This window comes from Homo sapiens, chromosome 6 (assembly GCF_000001405.40).
Source record: "Homo sapiens chromosome 6, GRCh38.p14 Primary Assembly".
In the NCBI taxonomy this organism is placed as follows: domain Eukaryota; kingdom Metazoa; phylum Chordata; class Mammalia; order Primates; family Hominidae; genus Homo; species Homo sapiens.
The window spans coordinates 11,430,346-11,455,827 of NC_000006.12; the positions used below are offsets into that span (position 1 = coordinate 11,430,346).

At 39.7% G+C, this 25,482-nt stretch overlaps 1 long non-coding RNA gene across 5 annotated transcripts in view, besides 1 other annotated feature; it reads left to right on the plus strand.

Moving 5' to 3' along the window:
• The window catches only part of LOC105374928 (uncharacterized), a 106,762-nt gene that overhangs the window by 12,983 nt on the left and 68,297 nt on the right, over window positions 1-25,482 (plus strand). The window lies entirely within an intron of this gene.
• Window positions 14,315-14,434: an enhancer, noted in NCBI's record as "active region_23986". NCBI's record gives its function as "activates an Ori minimal core promoter by ATAC-STARR-seq in GM12878 lymphoblastoid cells {active_cell/tissue: GM12878}" and the evidence as "EXISTENCE:reporter gene assay evidence [ECO:0000049][PMID:35858748]".

The window sequence follows — 25,482 nt, forward strand, 5'->3', positions numbered from 1 at the left end:
ACCATAGCCCATCTTAGGTCTCTAATTACACAGTGCGATCAGCCATGACTAGAGCCCTGCTAACTGATCACAGGTTTGATGAAATAAAGAAAGAGCAGTTTTGTGGTTTATTGTGATCCAGTCCATGGCATCCAGGTGAGAAATTCGTCAGTTCTGCACCATGCATTTATTTCTCTGTTAGTAAAAACTGCATTACAGACTGAATTTTTGTGTCCTCCCAAAATTTATATGTTTATGCCCTAATCTCCAATGTGATAATATTTGGAGATGGGACCTTTGGGAGGTGATTAGGTTTGGATGAGGTCATGAGGATGGTGCCGCCATGATGGGAATAGTACCCTTAGGGAAAGAAGAAAAGAGCAGAGCCTTTGCTCTCTCCTCCATGTAAAGATGCAGCAAAAAGACAGTCATCTGCCAACCAAGAAGCAAGCCCTTACCAGGCACTGAATCTGCTGGCACCTTGATCTTAGACTTCCCAGCCTCCAGATCTGCAAAAAATCAATTTCTGTTATTTAAGCCACCCAGTCTATGGTATTGTGTTACGCAAACCTAATCCGATTAAGACGAGCTATTTGGACCCATTGAAAAGGAAAGGGCTCATAGCCAACTCTTTTAAAAACCTTCCTCTCTTGTCTCCTTATTCACTTTTATGCACTTAAAATTTCTAGTATTTAATCAGCATCTTTTTATGCACGCTGCTATTCTCTTTCTATCTGTTCCAGTATCCTTTTCACCCTCCTGCCCATTTCCCCTTTTAGGTCATTGCCTGGCTACCTCTTACTGCATGTGCATCAAGACTCAGCTCAGGGCCGGGCGCGATGGCTGGCTCACGCCTGTAATCCCAGCACTTTGGGAGGCCGAGGTGGGCAGATCACGAGGTCAGGAGTTCAAGACCAGCCTGGCCAACCTAGTAAAGCCCCATCTTTACTAAAAATACAAAAAATTAGCCAGGCATAGTGGCGCATGCCTGTAGTCCCAGCTACTTGGGAGGCTGAGGCAGGAGAATGGCTTGAACCTGGGAGGCGAAGGTTGCAGTGAGCCAAGATCGTACCAATGCACTCTAGCCTGGGTGACAGAGCAAGACTCGGTCTCAGAAAAAAAAAAAAAAAGACTCAGCTCAGGTGTCTCCTCCTGCATGAAGCCTCCCAATGCCCTCCTCTCCCTCACCCCTAGCCTGGCCTGGATTCTACACACCCCCATAGCACCCTGTGTCACCTCCTTCCAAAGCCTCTATTCTCCTGTGCTTTATTTTTCACTCCCTCTCACTAGACTGTGGATTTCTCATTGAAGGCGGGAGTATGTGCCGAGCTCCAAGAGTAGAATCTTGAGCAGCAGGCATAAAAAAGTGTTTACCGAATAAAATGTGTGTGTCAGTGAAGCCCTTGGAACAGAGATCTTAGGTCATCAACACAAAGGGATGTCATTGTGCAAGAAAGGACCAGGGGGAACAAATGCCGGGCAAGGGCCACGGAGCAGATTAGAGTACAGCACAGATGTTCAAGTCAAAGTGGGGCCCCAAATGTTTCTAGAACCGTTGAGATAAAGGCAATGAAGTAACAGAGGAGTTTGGAATGGAACTGATTTTAGAAGCCCAGAGTGCAGAATCTCAGGAGGAGATGAATTTCAATATGGAGCATCAGAGACTGTGGAATATTTATCTATCTGAACAACAGCTCTTTCATGGGCTGAGTTGTGTCCTTGAGAAAGTTGAGCTGCTCTCAAGTCAAGCTCTTCTCAGACTTTAAGTTGGAAGATAAGAGAGGTATGGGGAGAAAAATGAGAGGCTGGAATTGGCACACACCAGAATTTTGCCTGGGCATTTACCATCCCCAGTCTCTCCTCCCCCCAAATCATGAAGCCTCTTTCTCTTCCGGGTTTGGGTGCCCCAGCAAGACTCCCAGATTCAAGAAGGCCATTCGTGTCTAACACATCTGCCAACAGGGAATGAGAACACCATATCCTCGCCCTGGTCACGCCCCTCCCTACTTGGGGTTTAGCTAGCCCACAGTTTCATGGGAAACTCTTGTTTCTTAGGATCTAAAGGTTAACTTGAAATTCGTTTCTGATGAAAAACGTAAGAAAACTTTGGAAAGCTGAGCTTGGGTGTTTTACCTTAGGTTAGCTTCCAAGTCCAGAAACTCTGCAAACTGTAAAAACTGTAGTGATGGATTTATGTGGTTCCCTGACCAATACAGATATTTGTAATAATAATAATAGAGGAAAAGATAGCACAGCCTCAGAATTTTTTCCCTTTACTCAGCTGAAAATTAAACCAGACAGGCAATTACTAAGGTTTTGCCATAATATGTAATATGTGTACACCGCATTTATGGCACATTACATCTTACATGGTTATTATTCTGCATTCTTCATCCAATCATCTTATTCCTTCTGGTATTTTTATGTGGTGAATGACTACAAGCTGAAAGTCAAGTGAGAAAGGCACTGGTACTGCAATAAAACACTGACTCAATAAAGAAGGGGCTATTTAAAATGTGACCACCACTACAGTGGACCACAATTGGGGATGTTGACAGTGAATTCTTGAAGACTGGAAAAGTACTAAGGTATTAAAGCACCATCTGTAATACTATTTTTACTGCTGTGACTCATTCTGTAATTCATTCTACTATCATGCCACAATTATAACTCATTCCTCTTTCTCAAACATCAAGATTCAATAGCTTTTTGAGTGCTTTTGTAATGCTCTCTGCACTTAACTAGAAAAAAAATCAAAAGAAGAGAATTTCATGTTAAAATAGAAATGTGATATTTAAAAAAATTTTTTTTTTAGATCTTGGAGAATGCTATTGTATATTCTGACCTATTATTAGAGGAAAAGGAAACAGTTCTATTAATACTAAGTATAAACTCAGATCTATTTGGAAAGCGCTTTCAACTGATTTTCTAAGTTGTGAGTCACTAGCTGTTTTTGGTGTTTGGTGTCATTTACTGGGAACTAAATTGAATCCTATTTTGGGTGTATCAGCAAAGATATAATGGATTATAGTAAGTCAGGCTTCTGTTCAGAATTTTTTTGTTCTGTTTCAAACAGTGTTTGGTCTATCTTTTCTTTCTTTCTCAATTCCCTAACTTCCTGTATCTTTTCTTTGGGAGCTAATGTTTTGTTTTCTTTCATTCATTTCTTTCATACTTGTTCTAACTTCCCACTTTTCTCTTTTGGAGAATTTAAATTATCACCACTCAGCAGTCTGGATTTTTCATTCTAAAGATAGAGCTCTGCCACTCAGCTGAGCAGGTGGAGGGTACAATTTGACTTCTTACATCTATTCTAAATAGTAGGATTTTAAGAGAGAGGTTTTATATTTTTTCCCCAATGTAAGAGAAAGTAGCCACATGAAGTATATAAGGGCCTAAGTACAACTTATTGGCATAGTAACATATATGTTATCATAATTTATATATGTTATCTATTATAATTACATATTCAACCCTATATTCTGACTTTGAGATCTAAAAATCAGCATGTATATGTTGTGAACTATTATGTTCTGACCCACCAAAGAGTAGTAAATGACAAAGGAATCTGTTGAAATATGCAACTTTTCCATAATTACTAGGTATAGTGAACTAGTTAAACAAAAAATGTAAGATCAATTATTTCCACTCTGTAGCTCGATGTCTAGTCCAAAGTGAGGCTCCAAAGGTCATACTGAATCAAACCACAAGAATAAACACATGATCAAAATGAAATACATAACTGCCTGTTGGAATAGACTTCTCTGGGCTGCTTACTTCTCTCACATTTTGTGAGTATCTTTAGGGCCAGGCTCTTCTCACCCTCTGGGGCATGTTAGTTGAAGACTTATTTTTGTCAACAGATTGTAATATTCTGAAGGCAGTGATTATGTTTCCTATTGCTTAGTGTCCTCTATAGGGCTAAGTGGCAAAGCTCTAAAAGGGCAGATGACCAGGAAATGTTTGCTGAATTGGAAAAATAAAACAAAACAATTCAAAGGAGGTGCTGGTGCTTCTTTACTTTACAATCCCAGACTCAGTTATAGAATGCTGGCCATAATCTCAGCAACCCAAGCTTGCTTTCTTTTTCTTTTCTTTTCTTTTCTTTTTTTTTTTTTTTGAGACGGAGTCTTGCTCTGTCACCCAGGCTGGAGTCCAGTGGCATAATCTCAGCTCATCTCAGCTCACTGCAATCTCTGCCTCCTGGGTTCAAGCCATTCTTCTACCTCAGCCTCCCAAATAGCTGGGATTACAGGCACGCGCCATCATGCCCAGCTAAATTTTTGCATTTTTAATAGAGATCGGGTTTTGCCATGTTGGCCAGACTGGTCTCAAACTCCTGACCTCAGATGATCCACCCGCCTCGGCCTCCAAAAGTGCTAGGATTTACAGGTGTGAGCCACTGTGCCCGGCCCCAGGCTTTATTTCAAGAAAGCATTCTTAAGAAGCTATGAAATGCCTCTGAAAATTCCTTGCAACCTTGGAGTAACTTGATCCGGAGCCTAGACACTTGATTCTAGTCCTTGATTTTCTTATCACTTTCTGTAAACATTGAATAAACTACTGACTCTGCATTGCCTTAGCAAACAGAGTTTGTGTACATACTGCATCATGGGGAGTTAACAAAACCAACTGAATTCACAGTGGCTGCTATGATCAGGACAACTAACGTGGTTGAACTAGAATGGATCTTAGGAAGTCACTTTTCTTTTGCCAGTAACACATGCATTCTTGTGCATGAAGCAATGTATGGCTGACAGCCATCAACTGAATTACTCAACAGCTCCTCTTTGGTGCAATGCACTGTGTTGGACTCTGATACCCTGAATTCTTGATCCTCAAGGCATCGCCAGGACATTGGACTTTAGGTAAGTTAGGAGTTCTTCTTGGCTGTGCTTAGGCATCCAAGGAGCAGTGTGTGGAGAAGCAAAATTCAAACAGGTGTTATAACAAGGAATTCAATTCTGTACAGCGTCAGAATCAAAGTGACTCCCACATCATGATCCAGTTTGAGCACTGCTCCTTGTGGGCTGTTTGGATACTTCCAGGTGATACTAGAACCCCCTGTAGATTCATTGAATGGAAAGAGAAAGGAATTTAGAGATAGCCAAACCTGGCTAAAAATTTTGGCTCCAACAATTACCAACTATGTGAGATTTTGAGCAAGTTGCTTAAACTCTTTGAGCATTAGTCTCCTCATCTACAAATTGGAAATTATGAGTTGTTGTTGTTATTAGATTAAATGGGATTATGCCAAAAAGCTTTTATTATAATTCATGCCATTTAGCAAACATCAAATAAAAGATAACTTTTCCTCTTCTTCCTTTCCCTCTCCCATCTTCTCCTCCTTCTCCTTGCTCTTCTGCTCTTATTCTTATTCTTATCCCTATTCTTCTTATTCTGTGTCTATACTGGGAAAAGTACACCAGCATGGAAGGCTACATCCATCTTGCATAGAATCAGGTGTGAGGAAGACCCTAGTCCTCTTCATGGCCTTGTGTGCATGCACACACTTATATGTAAAGGCAGGAAAAGGGTTTGAGGTAGAAGGGGAAGATGGCACAGATTTTTTGAGGCAGGGATACTATCTCACGCAACACACCACCTGAATAGCCCCCTGCCCAACCAGTTAACACTCCTTGAGCAGGGAGCTGGTGATACGCTGATTTGGTCTAATTGTCATCTCTCTTCAGTCTCTTCAATTCCTGTGCCCTAGGAAGGTATGTGGAAAGAGAGAGGCAGCACTTTACTAATGGATGATTCTGCATTCTCATAAAGACCATTCTCAAGTTCACAGGCTTCAGAGGGGTGCTGCCTCCAACCACGCCTCACCCAACCCTGGTCCCCTTCTGCTCACTCCAGGGGCCCTACCAGATGAGCTTTCTGAGATCCACATGGTCCAAGGCCTTTCTCTTGGCTACTTCATATTCTAAATGCTGGGGCAAGGAACACAGTAGAAATTAAAGATGGGGAACTTGGCAGACAGGAAAAACAATTCCTGTGTACGCCAACAATTTGTAGCTAGGTCACCAAATTTGAGCTGCAAGAAAGAGGTAGATAAACACAAAACTAGACTAAGAACACATTCATCCATTTATTAATCTATTCAATTAGTTAAGATTATTATTATTTAAGTTGTTATTAATCTGTTATTTAGTTAAGATTATCATTTGGCTAAGATTGTTCGCTAAATCCCTATAATTGTAATCCCTGCTGTAACAGACACTGGGCTAAAAGCTGAGGTTGTAATGGTAAACGAATCACATAGAACACCTACACTCATGCATTTATAGTCTGGTCTGGAATCTTATGGCCTTGATGAGTAAACATCCACTTGTCTAATAATATTTCAGCTACTAGTGCCGTGTAACAAATTATCCCCCAAGTTAGCAGCTTACACCAACCTTTGTATGATGCTCATGGCTCTGAAGTTCAGGAATTTGAACAGGGCACAGCATTCCCTAATGTCTGAGGCTCAGCTAGCAAGACTCAATGGCCAGGGGCTGAAATTACCTGGTGGTGTCTCTGTTCACTTGGCTGAGTTCTTGCTGGCTGTTATCTGGGAGCCCTGTTGAGTTGTTGCCAGGAATACCTACATCATGTGACCTCTCCAACAGGATAGCCTTAGGGTAACTGTGTCTCTTAGGTGGCAACTGGCTTCCCCTAGAGCAAGCATCTCAATAGAAACCGGCAAAAGATGCATGGCTTTTTCGGGCCCTGCCTCGAAGATCATTGGCCATCACTTCTGTCACATTGTATTGGTTATTAAGGCTGAATAGACTCCAGGGAAGGAGAATTTGAGTCCTTTAACGTCTGCTGCTTGCAGCTAATAATGAAGGAGAGGCAAGGTAGGAGCACGTGGGATAGGAGATAGAGCTGTGGACATCTGTAGAAAATGCAGTCTGCAAAAATGACAAGTGTTATGGTAGGGGAAGAGAGGGGAATATATGAGGAGCCTTAGTCCTCATTGGCAAAGTCAGTTAAGAAGTTTTCAAAGAAAATGTCCACCTAGCTGAGGACCAGTGGAAATTAACCAAACAAAAATTACATGTAACATAGTATTTTAAGCAGGTGAAACAACATGGGTGAAGGCCAAGGGTCTGTTGAGAGCCTAGGCCATATGTGGAACTGAAATAGTGTCCGTGTAGCTGCCTTATAGGGTATGAGGGTGATATGTAATCAGGGAGGGTGTGATAAAGTTGGTAGAAAGGAGTGTAGCCTAGTGTAGTGAATTCTTATAATTTTATGTTGTCTCAGCATCCATTTGGAATAAAAGTTGGACTTTTTCATACCCAAAATAGGGCTTCATCACCCTTGACATGGTTTCTAGTTCTCTGTCTTCTCAACTCCTCAAAGTGGTTATTCCAGATATTTGCCTTAAATGACCACCTCCTGGTGACCCCCTCCCCATGGGTCAGCTAGATACAACCTGCTTGACTCACCCCACTGACCCCCACACCCCACATGGACTGTGCAGTGACCACCTCTCAGTCACGGCACAACCCCACAGAGCTCATATCTGCTTGCTGTAAACCCACCACTTAGAACTCGTCATGGGAAACCTAACTGGGGAAGGCCCTGGACTCCAGTAAAGGCTTTGGCCCACAGGTGTCTCTGTGTCTTGCTCCCCATTTGCTGATCGTGCATGGATGTCCTGGATAGCTGCCTTCTTTCCATTGGCCCTGTGAGTCATGCTGCTCTGTGCTCTCTGGGATCTGTAAGGAATACACCGCTTCTGGTAGATTGTGTGTTGTTGAGTTGCTTCCTCTGTATCTCACTTGAGAAACACACCTGAACCTAACTTCTTTCCTGGTCAGAGCTCTCTAGAGCATGGCTATCTTGGCAGGAATAAACTGGACACGAGTTAGACAAGAGCACAAGGGCATCTTCCAGAATAAATGAGTTTCCTGTTTGAGGGACACCCGGTCACAGATGGGACACTTAGTCATGAGGCAATGAGCCAGGATAAAGAAGTACCCTGTGAAAGGCACGTTCTAAACATGCATGGTCAAATCCCCTGGAGCCCCATCAGCACAGGGCTGGAGTTCATAGCCACTCTAGAGATAGAGACCTCATGAGTAAATTAGAGAAAAATACAACATGTTGTGTGTATATGTGTGTGTGATAAAGAAATGAAGCTAGAGGTAAACAGTGTTTACCACATCATGAAGGTTCTGGTGAAACATACTATGGAGTTTGAACAATAGTCAGTTGGGGGCAGAAAGAAAACATTTATATTTTGAAAGGATATTATAGGCAGCATACAAATGAGTACAGGATTCAAATGCAATCAACCCTTAATTTTCCAAAATTCAAACTCTGTAACAGATAAAGATACTTATCCTGGCCATGAAGAAGAAAGTGTAAGCTGCTTGTTTGTCTTCTATATTATTATTTTAAAATTTTAAATGAAAAGTCCTCTTTATTATCCTAAAGAAGTATACTTAAAGCTCAGATACTATTAAATTTCCTCCCACTCCTCAACTTATAAGATTCACATATATAAGATTTTTCTGACTCCTATGAAAAGCATTGGTACACCTGAAATATTGCCCTAAGGCCTTACGTTAAGTATCATTTATTGCTACTATTATTTTTCATAAATATGGAGAAAATCTTCACTCCAAGAGAAAATTTAAATCCCCAGTCACCAGTCTCTTCTCTAGAAAGAATCAAACTTTCCTCAAGAAGCAAAGATGCTGAGTAGGAGATGCCATCATCATAAGACATTTGATGATACTGTGGTCTGCATGGCAAACGGCCTTTTACTCTGTGAAACCATTAATTTCCTGCACTGTGGTTCTCAAGTGTTTGCCTTCTTGGAACAATGATAGGAAGTTTCCTAACATAAGAAGGACTATGACGACAGCTACATGTTGCTCCTCCTAGATTTGGAAAATGTCCCATTGTCCTTCATGCATTAGATGGATCTAAAATAAGAAGTCTAGACAGTGGAAAATGTATGTAAGACTTGAGTTTGTTCCCTATTATTTAGTATTGTCAAATGGAAGTCACTCAGTAATCTCCCCTCTAATCAAAGCAGAATTGAGGAAGTATGCAAGAGTATAAAGTACATATGTAAAAGTAAGGTCATGAATCTTAGGCAGTTTTCCTAGTTCATTGTTAGCTACTTCAAGTTTTTTTAGAAGTAGGTAAGATAAAAATTATATGGAAGTGAAAAAAATTTTATTTATCAAGTTTGAAAGCAGCTTGTTTCTAATATTCAAGACCCTTCACTGCCCAATAGACTTTGATTATAGCCGGTAAATAGTTGGTTTAGTCGGTTTGATACTTTGCCAGTTGACGTGAGGCCACACCAGTCTATTTTATCTTTTACTATATCCCAACACAACAGGTGTTTTACACCCTTTTATTTGAAGAAACTTTGAGAAAGCTTACTATTCAGGCTTTGTTCTTCTTCTTACCCCCACTGGTAATATCCTACATTTCAAAACGAAGTAGTAGTGTTCAACTTTGTTCTTCTTTTCTACATTTTCTTTGGATACTCTAAGTCACTTGAATTTCTGAATGAGTTTTAGAATCAGCTTTCATTTTCTGAAAAAAAGAAAAGAGATAAAAAATGCATCTGGGATTTTGATTGAGATCATATTGATTCAACAGAGAGATTTGGGGAAAATTGATGTCTTAACAATACTAAATCCTCTGACCCAGGAACAAAGTCTCTTCATTTTTTCCCCTCTAATTTCTCAGCAAAGTTGCATCATTTTCAAGGCAGATATTTTGTCAGATTTATCCCTACTTATTTCGTTTTTTTTGCGCAATTGTAAATGATGTCATTTTTAAAGTTTTTTCCATTTCCAATTGTTCATTGCTAATTTATAGAAATACAATTAAATTTTGTATATTGATTTTATATTCTAAAATTTGCTACCCTAACTTACTGGTTCTAGTAGTTTTTTATAGATCACACTGACTTTTAAATATAGACAATTATATTGCCTGCAAAAGAAAAATTTTTCTTCCTTTTCAATCTTGATGCCTTTTATTTTTTCCCCTTGCCCTATTATACTGGCTAGATTCTTCAATACAATGTTGTATAGAAATGGTTGCAGCAAGCATCCTTGTCTTTTCCTTCATGTTTGGAGAAAGGATTCAGTCTTTCATCATTAAGTTTGATGTTAGTTCTAGGGGTCTTTTTTGTTGATGCCATTTATCAGGTTGAGGAGAGCCCTTTATATTCCTAGTTTGCTAAAATGTTTTAACAGGAATGGTGGTTGGATTTGTCAGAGGCTTTTTCTGCATCTACAAAGATGATCACGATGTTTCTTTTTTTGTTTGTTATGGTGAATTACATTAATTGTGTTTAAAATGTTAAACCACTCTTGCACTCCTGAGATAAACCTCACTAGGTCATGGTGTGTTATCGTTTTCATTTGTTGTTAGATTGACTTGTTAAATTTTTGTTTAGGATTTTTACATTTAAGTTCATGAAAAATATTGATACGTAGTTTTCTTATCTTACAATGCTTTGTAATGTCTTTATCAAGGTAATTCCAGCTTCATAGAATGAGCTAGGAAGTGTTATCTGCTCCTCACTCTCTGGAAATGTTTGTACAGAGTTGATATTATTTCTCTCTTGACTGTTTGGTGGAATTCACCAGTGAAGCCATCTGGGTCTGTAATTTCCTTTGTGGGTTTTAAACTACAAATTTAATTTCTTTCATAGATGGGGGTCTATGCAGATTTGTTTCTTCTTGAATGGGTTGTAGTAATTTGTGCCATTTAAGAAATTTGTTTAACCTAAGCTATCACGTTTATTGACGTAAAGTTACTCCTAATATTCCTTAGTATCCTTTTAATATCTCATATGGTTTGGCTGTGTCCCCAACCAAATCTCATCTTGAATTGTAGCACCCATAATTCCCGCGTGTTGTGGAAGGGACCCAGAGGGAGATAATTGAATCATGGGGGTGGTCTCCCCCATACTGTTCTTGCGGTGGTAAGTCTTCTAAGATGTAATGGTTTTATAAGGGGAAACCACTTTTGCTTGGCTCACTTTTTTTTTGGCCTGCTGCCATGTAAAATGTGCTTTTTGCCTTCTGCCAGGATTGTGAGACCTCCTCAGCCACGTGGAACTGTGAGTCTATTAAACCTCTTTTTCTTTATAAATTACCCAGTCTTGGCTGGGTGCAGTGGCTCGCGCCTGTAATCCCAACACTTTGGGAGGCCAAGGTGGGCAGATCACAAGGTCAAGAGATCAATACCAGCCTGGCCAACATGGTGAAATCCCATCTCTACTAAAAATACAAAAATTAGCTGGGCATGGTGGCACATGCCTGTAGTCCCAGCTACTCAGGAGGCTGAGGCAGGAGAATTGCTTGAACCTGGGAGGCAGAGGTTGCAGTGAGCTGAGATTGCGCCTGCACTCCAGCCTGGGCAACAAGAGTGAAATTCTGTCTCAAAAAAATAAATAAATAAATAAATAAATAAATAAATAAATTACCCAGTCTCGAGTATGTCTTTATCAACAGTGTGAGAGCAGACTAATACAGTAACTTGGTACTGGTAGAGTGGGGTGCTGCTGTAAAGATATCAGAAAATGTGGAAGCAACTTTGGAACTGGGTAATAGGCAGAGGTTGGAAGAGTTTGTAGGGCTCAGAAGAAGATAGAAAAATGTGGGAAAGTTTGAAACTTCCTAGAGACTTGTTGAATGGCTTTGACCAAAATGCTGATAACGATATGGATGATGAAATCCAGGTTGAGGTGGTTTCAGATGGAGATGAAGAACTTCTTGGTACCTGGAGTAAAGGTAACTCTATGTTTTAGCAAAGAGACTGGCAGCATTTTGCCCCTGCCTAGAGATTTATGGAACTTTGAACTTGAGGGAGATTATTTAGGGTATCTGATGGAAAAGATTTCTAAGCAGCAAAGCATTCAACAGGTGACTTGGGTGCTGTTAAAAACATTCACTCTTAAAAGGGAAAAAGAGCATAAAAGTTTGGAAAATTTGCAGCCTGGTGGTGCAATAGAAAAGAGAAAAACATTTTCTGAGGAGAAATTCAAGCCAGATGCAGAAATTTGCATAAGTAATGAAGAGCCAAATGTTAATCGCCAAAACAATGGGGAAAATGTCTCCAGGGCAGGTCAGAGACCTTTATGGCAGCCACTCCTATCCAGGAGAAAGAAATGGTTTTGTGGGCCCAGGGCTCCCCTGCTCTATGGAGCCTAGGGACTTGTTGCCCTGAATCCTAGCTGCTCCAGCCATGGCTAAAAAGGGCCAAGGTACAACTCAGGCCATGGCTTTAGAAGGTGGAAGCCCAAAGCCTTGGCAGCATACACATGGTGTTGAGCTTGCAGGCACGAGGAAGTCAAGAATTGACATTTGGGAACTTCCGTCTAGATTTCAGAAGATGTATGGAAACACCTGCATGACTAAGCAGAGGTGTGCTGTAGGGGTGGAGCCCTCATGGAGAACCTCTGCTAGGGCAGTGTGGAAGGGAAATGTCAGATGTGATTCCCCACACAGAATCCCCAATGGGACACTACCTAGTGGAGCTGTGAGAATAGGGCCACCATCCTCCAGACCCCAGAATGGTAGATCCACTGACAGCTTGCACTGTGCACCTGGAAAAGCTGCAGACAATCAATGCCAGCTCCTGAGAGCAGCCAGGAGGGAGGCTGTACACTGCAAAGCCACAGGGGTGGAGCTGCCCAAGACCATGGGAACCCACTTCTTGCATCAGTGTGACCTGGATGTGAGACATGGAGTCAAAGGAGATCATTTTGGCGCTTTAAGATTTGACTACCCCGCTTGATTTCAGACTTTCATGGGGCTTTTAGCCCCTTTGTTTTGGCCAATTTATCCAATTTGGAATGGCTGTATTTACCCAATGCCTATACCCCAGTTGTATCTAGGAAGTAACTAACTTGCTTTTGATTTTACAGGTTCATAGGTGGAAGAGACTTGCCTTGTCTCAGATGAGACTTTGGACTGTGGACTTTTGTGTTAATGCTAAAATGAGTTAAGACTTTGGGGGATGGTTGGGAAGGGATAATTGTTTTGAAATATGAGGACATAAGATATGGGAGGGGCCAGAAGTAGAATGATATGGTTTGGCTGTGTCCCCAACCAAATCTCATATTGAATTGTAGTTCCCATAATTCCCATGTGTTGTGGGAGGGACCCAGTGGGAGATAATAGAATCATGGGGGTGGTTCCTCCATATTGTTCTCGTGGTAGTGAATAAGTCTCACAAGATCTGATGGTTTTATAAGAGCAAACCCCCTTTTGCTTGGCTTGCATTCTCTTTTTGCCTGCTGCCATGTAAGATGCGCTTGTTGCTTTCCACCATGATTGTGAGGCCTCCCCAGCCACATGGAACTGAGTCCATTAAACTTCTTTTTCTTTATAATTTACCCAGGCTCAGGTCTGTCTTTATCAGCAGTGGGAAAACAGACTAAGACAATATCCATAGAATCTGTAGCTATGTCACCTTTGTGTTCATGATATTGTCCACTTGTGTTTTCATTTTTCCTGATCAGTTTGGCTAGAGTTCTATCAATTTTATTACCCTAAATAACTGAATTTGGGTTTTATTGATTGTATTATTCTGTTCTCTCATGGCTATAAATAAATACCTGAGACTGGGTAATTTATAAAGAGATTTAATTGGCTCATGGTTCTGCAGGCTGTATAGGAAGCATGATGTTGGCATCTGCTCAGCTTCTCGGAATGCCTCAGTAAACTTAAAATCATGGCAGAAGGTGAAGGGGGAGCAGGCACATCACACGACCATAGAAACATCGAGAGAGAGCAAAGGTGCTACGCACTTTTTTTTTTTTTTTTTTTTTGAGACGGAGTCTCGCTCTGTCGCCCAGGCTGGAGTGCAGTGGCGGGATCTCGGCTCACTGCAAGCTCCGCCTCCCGGGTTCACGCCATTCTCCCGCCTCAGCCTCCCAAGTAGCTGGGACTACAGGCGCCCGCCACTACGCCCGGCTAATTTTTTGTATTTTTAGTAGAGACGGGGTTTCACCATTTTAGCCGGGATGGTCTCGATCTCCTGACCTCGTGATCCGCCCGCCTCGGCCTCCCAAAGTGCTGGGATTACAGGCGTGAGCCACCGCGCCCGGCCTGCTACGCACTTTTAAACAATCAGATCTTGCAAGAATTCTCTATCATGAGAACAGCACCAAGGGGATGGTACTAAACCATTCATGAGAAATCCACTCCCATGATTCAGTTACTTCCTACCATGCCCCACCTCCAACACTAGGGGATTACAATTTGATGTGAGCTTTGTGCAGGGATACAGATGCAAATCATATCGTTGATCTTCTTTATTGTTTTTGTTTTTTTATTTCATTAATTCTATCATGATTTTCATTATTCCCTTTCATCTGCTTACTTTGAGTTTCATTTGCTCTTCTTGTTCTGGCTCAATAAGGTGAGAGCTGAGTTTATTGACTTGAGGCTCCTCTTCTTTTCTAAGTCAGGTGTGGAGTGGTATAAATTTCCCCTGAAGTATTGCTTCAGTAGCTGCCCACAAATTTTCATCTGTTGTGTTTTCATTTTCATTCTTTTAAATATAGTTTCAATTCCCCCCTTGTTTTCTTCTTTGTCTTGTGGGTTATTTAAAAGTGTCTTATTTAGTTCCCAAATATTTGTGGATTTTCAAATATTGCTGTTATTTATTTCTGGTTTAATTCTATTGTGGTCAGAGAATTTACTTTGTATGACCTGAATTCCTTCAAATTTATTAAAACTTGTTTTGTATCCTGAAATATGATCTATCTTAGTAAATACTTTTCACTTTTTAAAAAATGTGCATTCTTCTGGGTGAAGAGTTCTTTAAATGTCAATTAGGTCAGGTTGGTTGATAGCGATGTTCATGTCTTTTATGTCTTCACTAATTTTCTGTCTACTCATTCTATCAATTATTGAAAGAGATGTATTAAAATCTCTAGGTATAATTGAGAACTTGTCTATTTTTCCTTGTGGTTTTATCAGTTTTTGTTTCATGTGTTTTTAGCTTCTGTTATTAGCTGTATAAAGTTTTAGGTTCTATTATTAGCTACATAAAGTTTTGTTATGTCCTCTTTAGGAACTGACCCAAATATCATTATAAATGGACCTTCTTTATCTTTGATAATACTTTTTGCTCTGACAGCTAGTTATCTGATATTGATATAGCCAGTCTATTTTTATTTTTATTAATGTTAGTATAGTACATTTTTTTCCAACTTTTTTCTTTTTGCGTATTTGTATCTTTGTATTTAAATTGTGTTTCTGGTAGGCAGCAAAGGGTTGAGTTTTGCTCTTCTACTCAATTTGACAATCTCTGTCTTTTAATTCAGGTGTTTAGATCATTTACATTTAACGTGCTTGTCGATATTTTTAGATTTAAATATATTATACTATGTGAAGTCTATTTGTCCTCTTTTTTTTAAATTCCACTTCCCTCTTTACACTTTTTTTTTTGGATTAATTAAGTATCTTTAAAACATCATTGTATGTTTTTTGTTGGCTTATTACCAATAACTTCTTGTTTTGTTCTCTTGGTGGTTTCTTTCCTATTCATATGATACATCTTTAACAACATACCATGTCTTCAAATAACATATCACTTCATGTAGAGTATAAAAATCTTATGATATTACACTTAAACTTCTACCTTCCCAGCCTTTGTGCTATTGTTTTCATATATTTTACTTATACGTATAAAGCCTCATACTACATTGATATTATTTTTATTTAGTCAATTATCTTTTAGAGATATTTAAGCACTAATAATGCCATATTTACCCATATAGTTAATTTCTTATAGTGTGGATATTATGATGATGCATTCTTCCAGCATTTGTATTTCTGAAGAAGTTATTTTCTTCATTTTTGCTGGGTATAGATTTCTTAAAAGATATTTTTAATAAGTATTGATTTCTAGTTAGCAGAGTTTTTTTTTTCTTTTAGGGTCTAAAGATATTATCTTATTGTCATCTCACATGCCTTGTGTCTGATGAGAAATCTGCTGCTGTCCTTATTTTTGTTCTTTTGTAAGTAATACATTTTTTATCTATGGCTGCTTTTCAAGTTTTCTATGTATCACTGGTTTTGAGGAATTTTATTATGACACACTGTGTGGTAGTTTTATCATGTTTCTTGTGACTGGCATTTATTGATCGTTTGTCTGTGGATTTAATTTTTATCAAATTTTTGTCTATTGTTTTCTTAAATATTTTTTGTCTGTTCCCTCTTCTCATTCCTCTTATTTGGAGACTACAATTACATAAATATTAACTCACCTGAAGTTGTCCCACAGCTAACTGATGCTCTTCTTGTTTTAAATTCTTTTTGCTTTTGTTTTACTTTAGATAGTTTCTATTTCTATGCCTTTAAGTTCACTAAACTTTTCTTCTACAATATGTAATGCTGTAAGTCTTATGAAATTTATTTTTTATTACAGACATTTTAGTTTTCATCTCTTGAGGTTGGGTTTGGGTCATTTGAATACATTTTCCATGCTACTTCTTAACTTTTAAACAGAGAGAATACATCCGACTATTGATGGGGAATCTGTCTCCCTTTGCATCTCACTTCTCTCCAGCATTCTGTCCTTGTTCTCCTGAGCTCAGTCTTCTTCTCCTGAGACTCTCAGCTCCATCCCCTCAACTCAAGGAGTCCAGTGGGCTCCCCTTGAGTTTTGTCTCCCAGTGGCACAGCCTAAAAACTCTCTCAAAGCTGCACGCTGGGGCAATTATAGGGCTTACCTTATATGTTTCTCATCAGTCAGGATCATTGTACTCTATTTTCTTATATTCAGTATCTCGAAAACTGTTGCTTTTTTTGTTGTTGTTCTTTTCTTTTCAGACAGGAGGATAAATCCACTCTGTGCTACTCATCTTGGATGTAAGCCAAATTCCTCCTTTTTTTTAAAAAAAGCCATAAATGCTATTCCTTTACCTGAACTTAGTCTTAATAATTACATAAAATTGTTAGCAACCCAATAAATAGAGAATTAGTAAATGAGAAAAAAACAAAGAAAATATTCAGAATGTATCACAGGAAAAAAGAAATAGAAAATATGAAGAATTATGAGACATGGAGTAGAATGGAAAACTACAGCATATTTTTTGCATTCTGTTTCTTCTGGGTTTGATTTTCTTCTTACTAATGTACACCTTTTGTAGTTCTTTCAGTGATGGAAAGACCATGAGTCATAAACTCTCAGGTTTGATTCATTTGAAATTGTCTTTATTTTACCGTTACTCAAGAATAATAATTTAGCTAGAGAAAACTTCCCAGGTTGGTAACTATTTTCTTCTAATGCTTAAAGGCATTATTTTATTGTTTTCTGGACTCTAGTATAGCTAATGAGAATTTTTCTATTCGTCTAGTTGTTTCTTTTGTAAATAATCTAGGTTTTACACTGATTGCTTTTAAAATTTTCATTTGTCTTTAGTAGCCTGCTGCATGCTACTGATCATCATCTGGAATTCTGGTACTTTAATCCTTCTTGCTGCTACCACCACTTGGGAGTCAGACAGGAAGTAATCTTGAAAAGGCCATATTTTCTTTTATTACTTTGTTTCATATACCCAGGACCAGCTTCATGGGTCTGCAACCTATGCAATCACAGAGAATGTCACATTTAAAAGGGTCCCAAACTTATTTTAGTGTTCTGCAATTGCCATCTTGTAATTCCTAATAATTTAAATTTGTTTAAATTTTATTTTTAATTGTGGTAAGATACACACAACATAAGATTTACCATCTGTTTTGTGTTGCTTATAAAGGAATACCTGAACTTGGGTAATTTATAAAGAAAGAGGTTTATTTAGTTCTCAGTTCTTCAGGCTATACAAAAAGCATGGAACCAGCATCTGCTTTTGGTATGGGCTTCAGTAAGCTACCACTCATGGTGGAAGGCAAAGGGGAACTGACATGTGCAGAGATCACATGGTGAAAGAAGAGGAAAGGGGTGGGGGAAGGACCAGGCTCCTTTGAATAACCAGCTCTCATAGGAATTAATAAGAGTGAAAACTCATTAACCCCTGAGGGAGGGTAGTAATCTAATCATGAAGAATCCACCCCCATGACCCAAACACCTTCCAATTGGCCCCACCTGCCAACACCACCACAGTGGAAATTAAATTTCAAAATGAAATTTGATGGGAACAAACCATAGCAGTATTGTATCAATTTTTGCATCTACATTCAGTAGAGTTAAGTACATTAACATTATGAAACCAATCTCCAGAACTCTTTTTACCTTGCAGAACTGAAATTCTTTCTCCATTAAACAACAACTCCCATTTCCTCTCTCTCAATCCTTGTTAATTACTATTCTACTTTCTGTCTGAAGTTGACTACTCTAGGTACCTCATATAAGTGAGATTACACAGTATTTGTCCTTTTGTGGCTAGCTTTTTTCACTTAGCATAATATCCTCAAGATCCATCCATATTGTAGCATGTGTGGCATTTCCTTCCCTTTTAAGGGCGAATAACATTCCACTGTAGGTATATAACACATTGGGTGAAAATTCTGAAAAATACTTTTGAAAAAGTGTTCCCACATTTTAATTTCACACTAGTCCTGTAAATTATGCAACTGGTCCTGTTTTTATTTAATTATACAAGAATTTTACTTTAAAAAACTGTAAAGGAATACAGTATAGGAGGGGAAATTAATCAATAGTGTATGCTTCACAAGACTACTTTCCATAGTCCAAAAGAAAATTACACAGAGTTAAACCCTTCGTAGATATACACCACATACCCAGCCTTGCCCCCTGACCCTTGGGTCTCCCTCCCTCTAAGGAGGCTTTTCCTTCTCTAACAACTGGAGTGTGAGTCTTCATCTCCCCTTTGGAAAAACCCCTCCCCTACTCACTGGTATCAGTCATGTCCAAGAATTCTCATCCTACCCATTTCCACATCTCAACCAGCACAATCTCTAGGACAATATTTTCCAGTAGGAAATTTCCCAGGTTAAGCTAGGATATCACTGGGACATGAGTTTTCCTAAGGACAGTCAAGATAAATATTGGCACTCTGAGTTCTCTCTGAGATCAAGTCAGTGCTCTCTGAGATCTCCCTGGTAGTGTAATGTAGAAATATGCCTTCCTCAGTCATCTCACAGGTAATTCTTGCCTCAGGAGAGATGTTAAGTTCCAGAAACATCACAATTGCGACTTGTAATAAGAATGAGAGAGTTTCTCTAATTACAGTCTATTGTGCTCAGGCTGCTTCCACAGCCAATGACAATATATATTATTTTGTCCACAAGTGACAGGTTGCCCTTTGTCTCCTTTCTAATTCAAAATTTGACCAGAGGCCCAGAGCACATAAAAAATGAGCCCTAGCAAATACACTCATCCTTCCGTGGCCCTGGGGGATTGGTTCCAGGACCCCCATGGATACCAAAATCCACACATACTCAAGTCCTTTGTATAACACAGTGTAGTATTTACATATAACCTATGCACATCCTCTTGTATGTTTTAAATCATCTCTAGATTACTTATAATATCTAATACAATGTAAATGCTATCTACATAGTTATACTCTATTGTTTAGGGAATATTGACAAGAAAAAATGTCTGTATATTTTCAGTGCAGACAAAAATATTCATTTTTTAAAAATATTTTTAATACGTGCTTGGTTGAATTCATGGATGTGAAACTCATGAATACAGGGGAGCAACTGTAAAGCTTTTGCAAACTATAGAGCCATTCACTTTTTGGGGTCCTCCCTGTGGTCACACAAATACCTAGATCAGGCTTTGACCTAAGAGTTTTGCTGCAAAAGTGAATCAGAATTAAAGTAGTTTCATAATTTTTAAAGCAATTCCCAAGGCCTAGAGGATGGGATGCTGCAGAGGGCTGGGGAGTGTGTGTGTGTTTGTGTGTGGTGCTTGAGGGTGGTGTGAGGGAACGTGATGCTGCTCGTCACATGAGTTTAGATGAATGAGCCTGTGAAATGGAATTGGGTGACAAAATAATCCTCAGGGAAAGCCTGTTAGGTGGTTGGAGTTCTAATTATAAATGAAAGAGGTCAGACCTCATTATGATAAAAATGCAGTTTTAGCTTCATGATTTCAGCTAGTGCTTTTGATCCAGCTATTAAAAATCCTGCAAAGATTTTAAAGGCAATTTGGTTCATTTAATAGATTGTCTAGACCTGAGCTGACCAGCGGGGTGGCTTTGGGTCATTTAAAACGTGCTGTACATGTAAAAGTCCCAGTTGATTTTGAAGACTAATGAAAAATAAGAAAGCCAAATATTAAAAAATATAACATTTTGTACATATTGGGTTAAATAATATGCTATTATAGTTTTAACTGTTTATTTTTACTTTGATTTTCCTGTGGGGTTTTTTTTCAGTGAAAACCAAAAAACCTGTTAGAAATTCTAACACTAGTCCTTTAGAATTTAGAATTCTGAATTCTAAAAGAGTTGTAACGCTTCTTTTTAGTTTTCAAATGGAGCTACTACATTTAAAATTGCACAGTGACTTGGTTTTGTGGCTCACATTACATTTCTATTAGACAGCACTGGTCCAGAATCCATTTAGTTTTTGACATAAATTAGATCTTTGATAGTCTCAGATTTATTTTCATCCCCAAGGTTCATGACGTTTTGCATACTTCCTAACTGCAGTCTCAGAAGTGAGTCAATTGCAGCGGGTTAGGTGACACTAGCCTGCCTGCCAGCACTCTTGCCTCCAACTCTCTACAAGTTGTCTCCTACACATACCTCAGGTGAAGAGGGAATCATTTATTTCTTTGAGGAAAAGAAGACTCTTCCCTCCAACCAAGCTGATGTTCCAAACTATTTTTTTTTTACATTTGATTTGATTTTTTGAGACAGAGTTTTGCTCTTGTTGTCGCTCTGGAGAGCAACGGCGCAACCTCCACGTCCCAGGTTCGAGTGATTCTCATGCCTCAGCCTCCCAAGTAGCTGGGATTACAGGCATCTGCCACCTTGCGTGGCTAATTTTGTATTTTTAGTAGAGACGGGTTTCACCGTGTTGGCCAGGTTGGTCTCGAACTCCTGACCTCAGGTTATCCACCCGCCTTGGCCTCCCAAAGTGCTGGGATTACAGATGTGAGCCGCCATGTCTGGCCCAAACTATTTTTTTTAACCTAAACTGTAGGATATAGTAAGTAGCAAATTGTCAAATTTAGCAGAGCTTTTCATTATAATATCCATGAGTCTATCAACCATGCTATAAATAAATAGGTGACTTAAAGCCTTAAATGTCTTTCTGAATGCTCTGGCCAGAGCAGAAAATGGAGAGATGACTTCAGCAAATGCTGAATTGCAATTCGACTTTATTCTTAATGAGGCAGATAATTTGTAGTGTGATGAAATACACAGAAAATGCTATGTTCAGTGGACTCAGGAGAGACTTAATAGATAGAAAACTTCTTTTGCTCCTGGAAGCTAAAGGGAAGGAGAAGGGAGACAGAGGAGAGATAAAGGGAAAGACAAGAGGTATCAAAAGACTATATATTCAGGAGATTCTGTTCCAAGATGGCTGAATAGGAACAGCTCCAGTATGCAGCTCCCAGCATGATCGATGCAGAAGACGGGTGATTTCTGCATTTCCAACTGAGGTACCTGGTTCATCTCATTGGGATTTGCTGGACAGTGGATGCAGCCCACGGAGGGTGAGCTGAAGCAGGGCAGGGCATCGCCTCACCCGGGAAGCCCAAGGGGTTGGGGGATTTCCTTTTCCTGGCCAAGGGAAGTTTTCCACATAGCACCTGGAAAACTGGGACATTCCCACCCAAATACTGTGCTTTTCTAACGGTCTTAGCAAATGGCACACCAGATTATATCCTGCACCTGGCTCGGAGGATCCCAAGCCCACAGAGCCTTGCTTACTGCTAGCGCAGCAGTCTGAGATTGACCTGCGAGGCAGCAGCCTGGCAGGGAGAGGGGCATCTGCCATTACTGAGGCTTGAGTAGGTAAAAAAAAGTGGCCGGAGAAGTTCAAACTGGGCGGAGCCCACTGCAGCTTAGCAAGGCCAGCTGCCTCCGTAGTCTCCACCTCTGGGGGCGGGGCATAGCTGAACAAAAAGCAGCAGAAACTTCTGCAGACTTAAACATCCCAGTCTGACAGCTCTGAAGAGAACAGTGGTTCTCCCAGCACAGTGTTTGAGCTCAGAGAACGGACAGACTGCCTCCTCAAGTGGGTCCCTGACCCCCATGTAGCTTAACTGGGAGACATCTTCCCGTAGGGGCCAACTGATACCTCATACATGAGGGTGCCCCTCTGGGACAAAGCTTCCGGGGGAAGGATGAGGCAGCAATATTTGCTATTCTGCAATATTTGCTGTTCTTCAGTCTCCGCTGGTGATACCCAGGCAACCAGGGTCTGGGGTGGACCTCCAGCAAACTCCAACAGACCTGCAGTTGAGGGACCTGACTGTTACAAGGAAAACTAACAAACAGAAAGGAATAGCATCAACATCAACAAAAAGGACATCCACACCAAAACCCCATCTGTAGGTCACCAACATCAAAGACCAAAGGTAGATAAAACCACAAAGATGGGGATAAACCAGAGCAGAAAAGCTGAAAATTGTAAAAGCCAGAGAGCCTCTTCTCCTCCAAAGGATCACAGCTCCTTGCCAGCAATGGAACAAAGCTGGACGGAGAATGACTTTGATGAGCTGACAGAAGTCGGCTTCAGAAGGTTGGTAATAACAAACTTCTCCGAGCTAAAGGAGGATGTTCAAACCCATTGCAAGGAAGCTAAAAACCTTGAAAAAAGATTAGACAAATGGCTAACTAGAATAAACAGTGTAGAGAAGACCTTAAATGACCTGATGGAGCTGAAAACCACGGCACGAGAACTACGTGATGCATGTACAAGCTTCAATAGCCGATTTGAACAAGCAGAAGAAAGGGTATCAGTGATAGAAGATCAAATTAATGAAATAAAGCAACAAGAGAAGTTTAGAGAAAAAAAGTAAAAGGAAATGAACAAAGCCTCCAGGAAATATGAGACTATGTGAAAAGACCAAATCTACTTTTGATTGGTGTACCTGAAAGTGACGGGGAGAATGGAACCAAGTTGGAAAACACTCTTCAGGATATTATCCTGGAAAACTTCCTCAACCTAGCAAGGCAGGCCAACATTCAAATTCAGGAAATACAAAGAACAGCACAAAGATACTCCTTGAGAAGAGCAACACCAAGACACATAATTGTCAGATTCACTAAGGTTGAAATGAAGGAAAAATGTTAAGGGCAGCCAGAGAGAAAGGTCGGGTTACCCACAAAGGAAAGCCCATCAGACTAACAGTGGATCTCTCGGAAGAAAGTCTACAAGCCAGAAGAGAGTGGGGGCCAAGATTCAACATTCTTAAAGAAAAGAATTTTCAACCCAGAATTTCATATCCAGCCAAACTAAGCTTCATAAGTGAAGGAGAAATAAAATCCTTTACAGACAAGCAAATGCTGAGAGATTTTGTCACCACCAGGCCTGCCTTACAGGAGCTCCTGAAGGAAGCACTAAACATGGAAAGGAACAACTGGTACCAGCCACTGCAAAAACATGCCAAATTATAAAGACCATTGATGCTAGGAAGAAACTGCGTCAACTAATGGGCAAAATAAACAGCTAACATCATAATGACAGGATCAAATTCACAAACAATATTAACCTTAAATGTAAATGGGCTACATGCCCCAATTAAAAGACACATACCGTCAAATTGGATAAAGAGTCAAGGCCCATCAGTGTGCTGTATTCAGGAGACCCATCTGACCTGTAGAGACACACACAGTCTCAAAATAAAGGGATGGAGGAAGATCTACCAAGCAAATGGAAAGCAAAAAAAAAAAAAAAAAAAAGCAGGGGTTGTAATCCTAGTCTCTGATAAAACAGACTTTAAACCAACAAAGATCAAAAGAGACAAAGAAGGCCATTACATAATGGTAAAAGGATCAATTCACCAAGAAGAGCTAACTATCCTAAGTGTATATGCACCCAATACAGGAGCACCCAGATTCATAAAACAAGTCCTTAGAGACCTAGAAAGACACTTAGACTCCCACACAATAATAATGGGAGACTTTAACACCCCACTGTCAATATTAGACAGATCAATGAGACAGAAGGTTAACAAGGATATCCAGGTGAACTCAGCTCTGCACCAAGTAGACCTAATAGACATCTACACAACTCTCCACCCCAAATCAACAGAATATACATTCTTCTCAGCACCACATCGCACTTATTCTAAAATTGACCACATAGTTGGAAGTAAAGCACTCCTCAGCAAATGTAAAAGAACAGAAATCACAACAAACTCTCTCTCAGACTACAGTGCAATCAAATTAGAACTCAAGATTAATAAACCCACTCAAAACCACACAACTACATGGAAAGTGAACAACTGCTCCTGAATGACTACTGGGTACATAACGAAATGAAGTCAGACATAAAGATGTTCTTTGAAACTAATGAGAACAAAGACACAACATACCAGAATCTCTGGGACACATTTAGAGCAGTGTGTAGAGGGAAATTTATAGCACTAAATGCCCACAAGAGAAAGCAGGAAAGATCTAAAATTGACACCCTAACATCACAATTAAAGGAACTAGAGAAGCAAGAGCAAACACATTCAAAAGCTAGCAGAAGGCAAGAAATAACTAAGATCAGAGCAGAACTGAAGGAGATAGAGACACAAAAAATCCTTCAAAAAAATCAATGAATCCAGGAGCTGGTTTTTTGAAAAGATTAACAAAATAGATAGACCGCTAGCAAGATGAATAAAGAAGAAAAGAGAGAAGAATCAAATAGATGCAATAAAAAATGATAAAGGGGATATCACCACCAATCCCACAGAAATACAAACTACCATCAGAGAATACTATAAACACCTCTCTGCAAATAAACTAGAAAATCTAGAAGAAATGGATAAATTCCTCGACACATACACCCTCCCAAGACTAAACCAGGAAGAAGTTGAATCTCTGAATAGACCAATAACAGGCTCTGAAATTGAGGCAATAATTAATAGCCTACCACCAAAAAAAGTCCAGGACCAGATGGATTCACAGCCAAATTCTACCAGAGGTAGAAAGAGGAGCTGGTACCATTCCTTCTGAAACTAATCCAGTCAATAGAAAAAGAGGGAATCCTACCTAACTCATTTTATGAGGCCAGCGTCATCCTGATACCAAAGCCTGGCAGAGACACAACAAAAAAAGAGAATTTTAGACTACTATCCCTGATGAATATAGATGTGAAAATCCTCAAAAAAATACTGGCAAACTGAATCCAGCAGCACATCAAAAAGCTTATCCAACAAAATCAAGTTGGATTCATCCCTGGGATGCAAGGCTGGTTCAACATATGCAAATCAGTAAACATAATCCATCACATAAACAGAACCAAGACAAAAACTACATGACTATCTCAATAGATGCCGAAAAGGCTTTTGGCAAAATTTAACAGCACTTCAGCTAAAAACTCTCAATAAACTAGGTATTGATGGAACATATCTCAAAACAATAGGAGC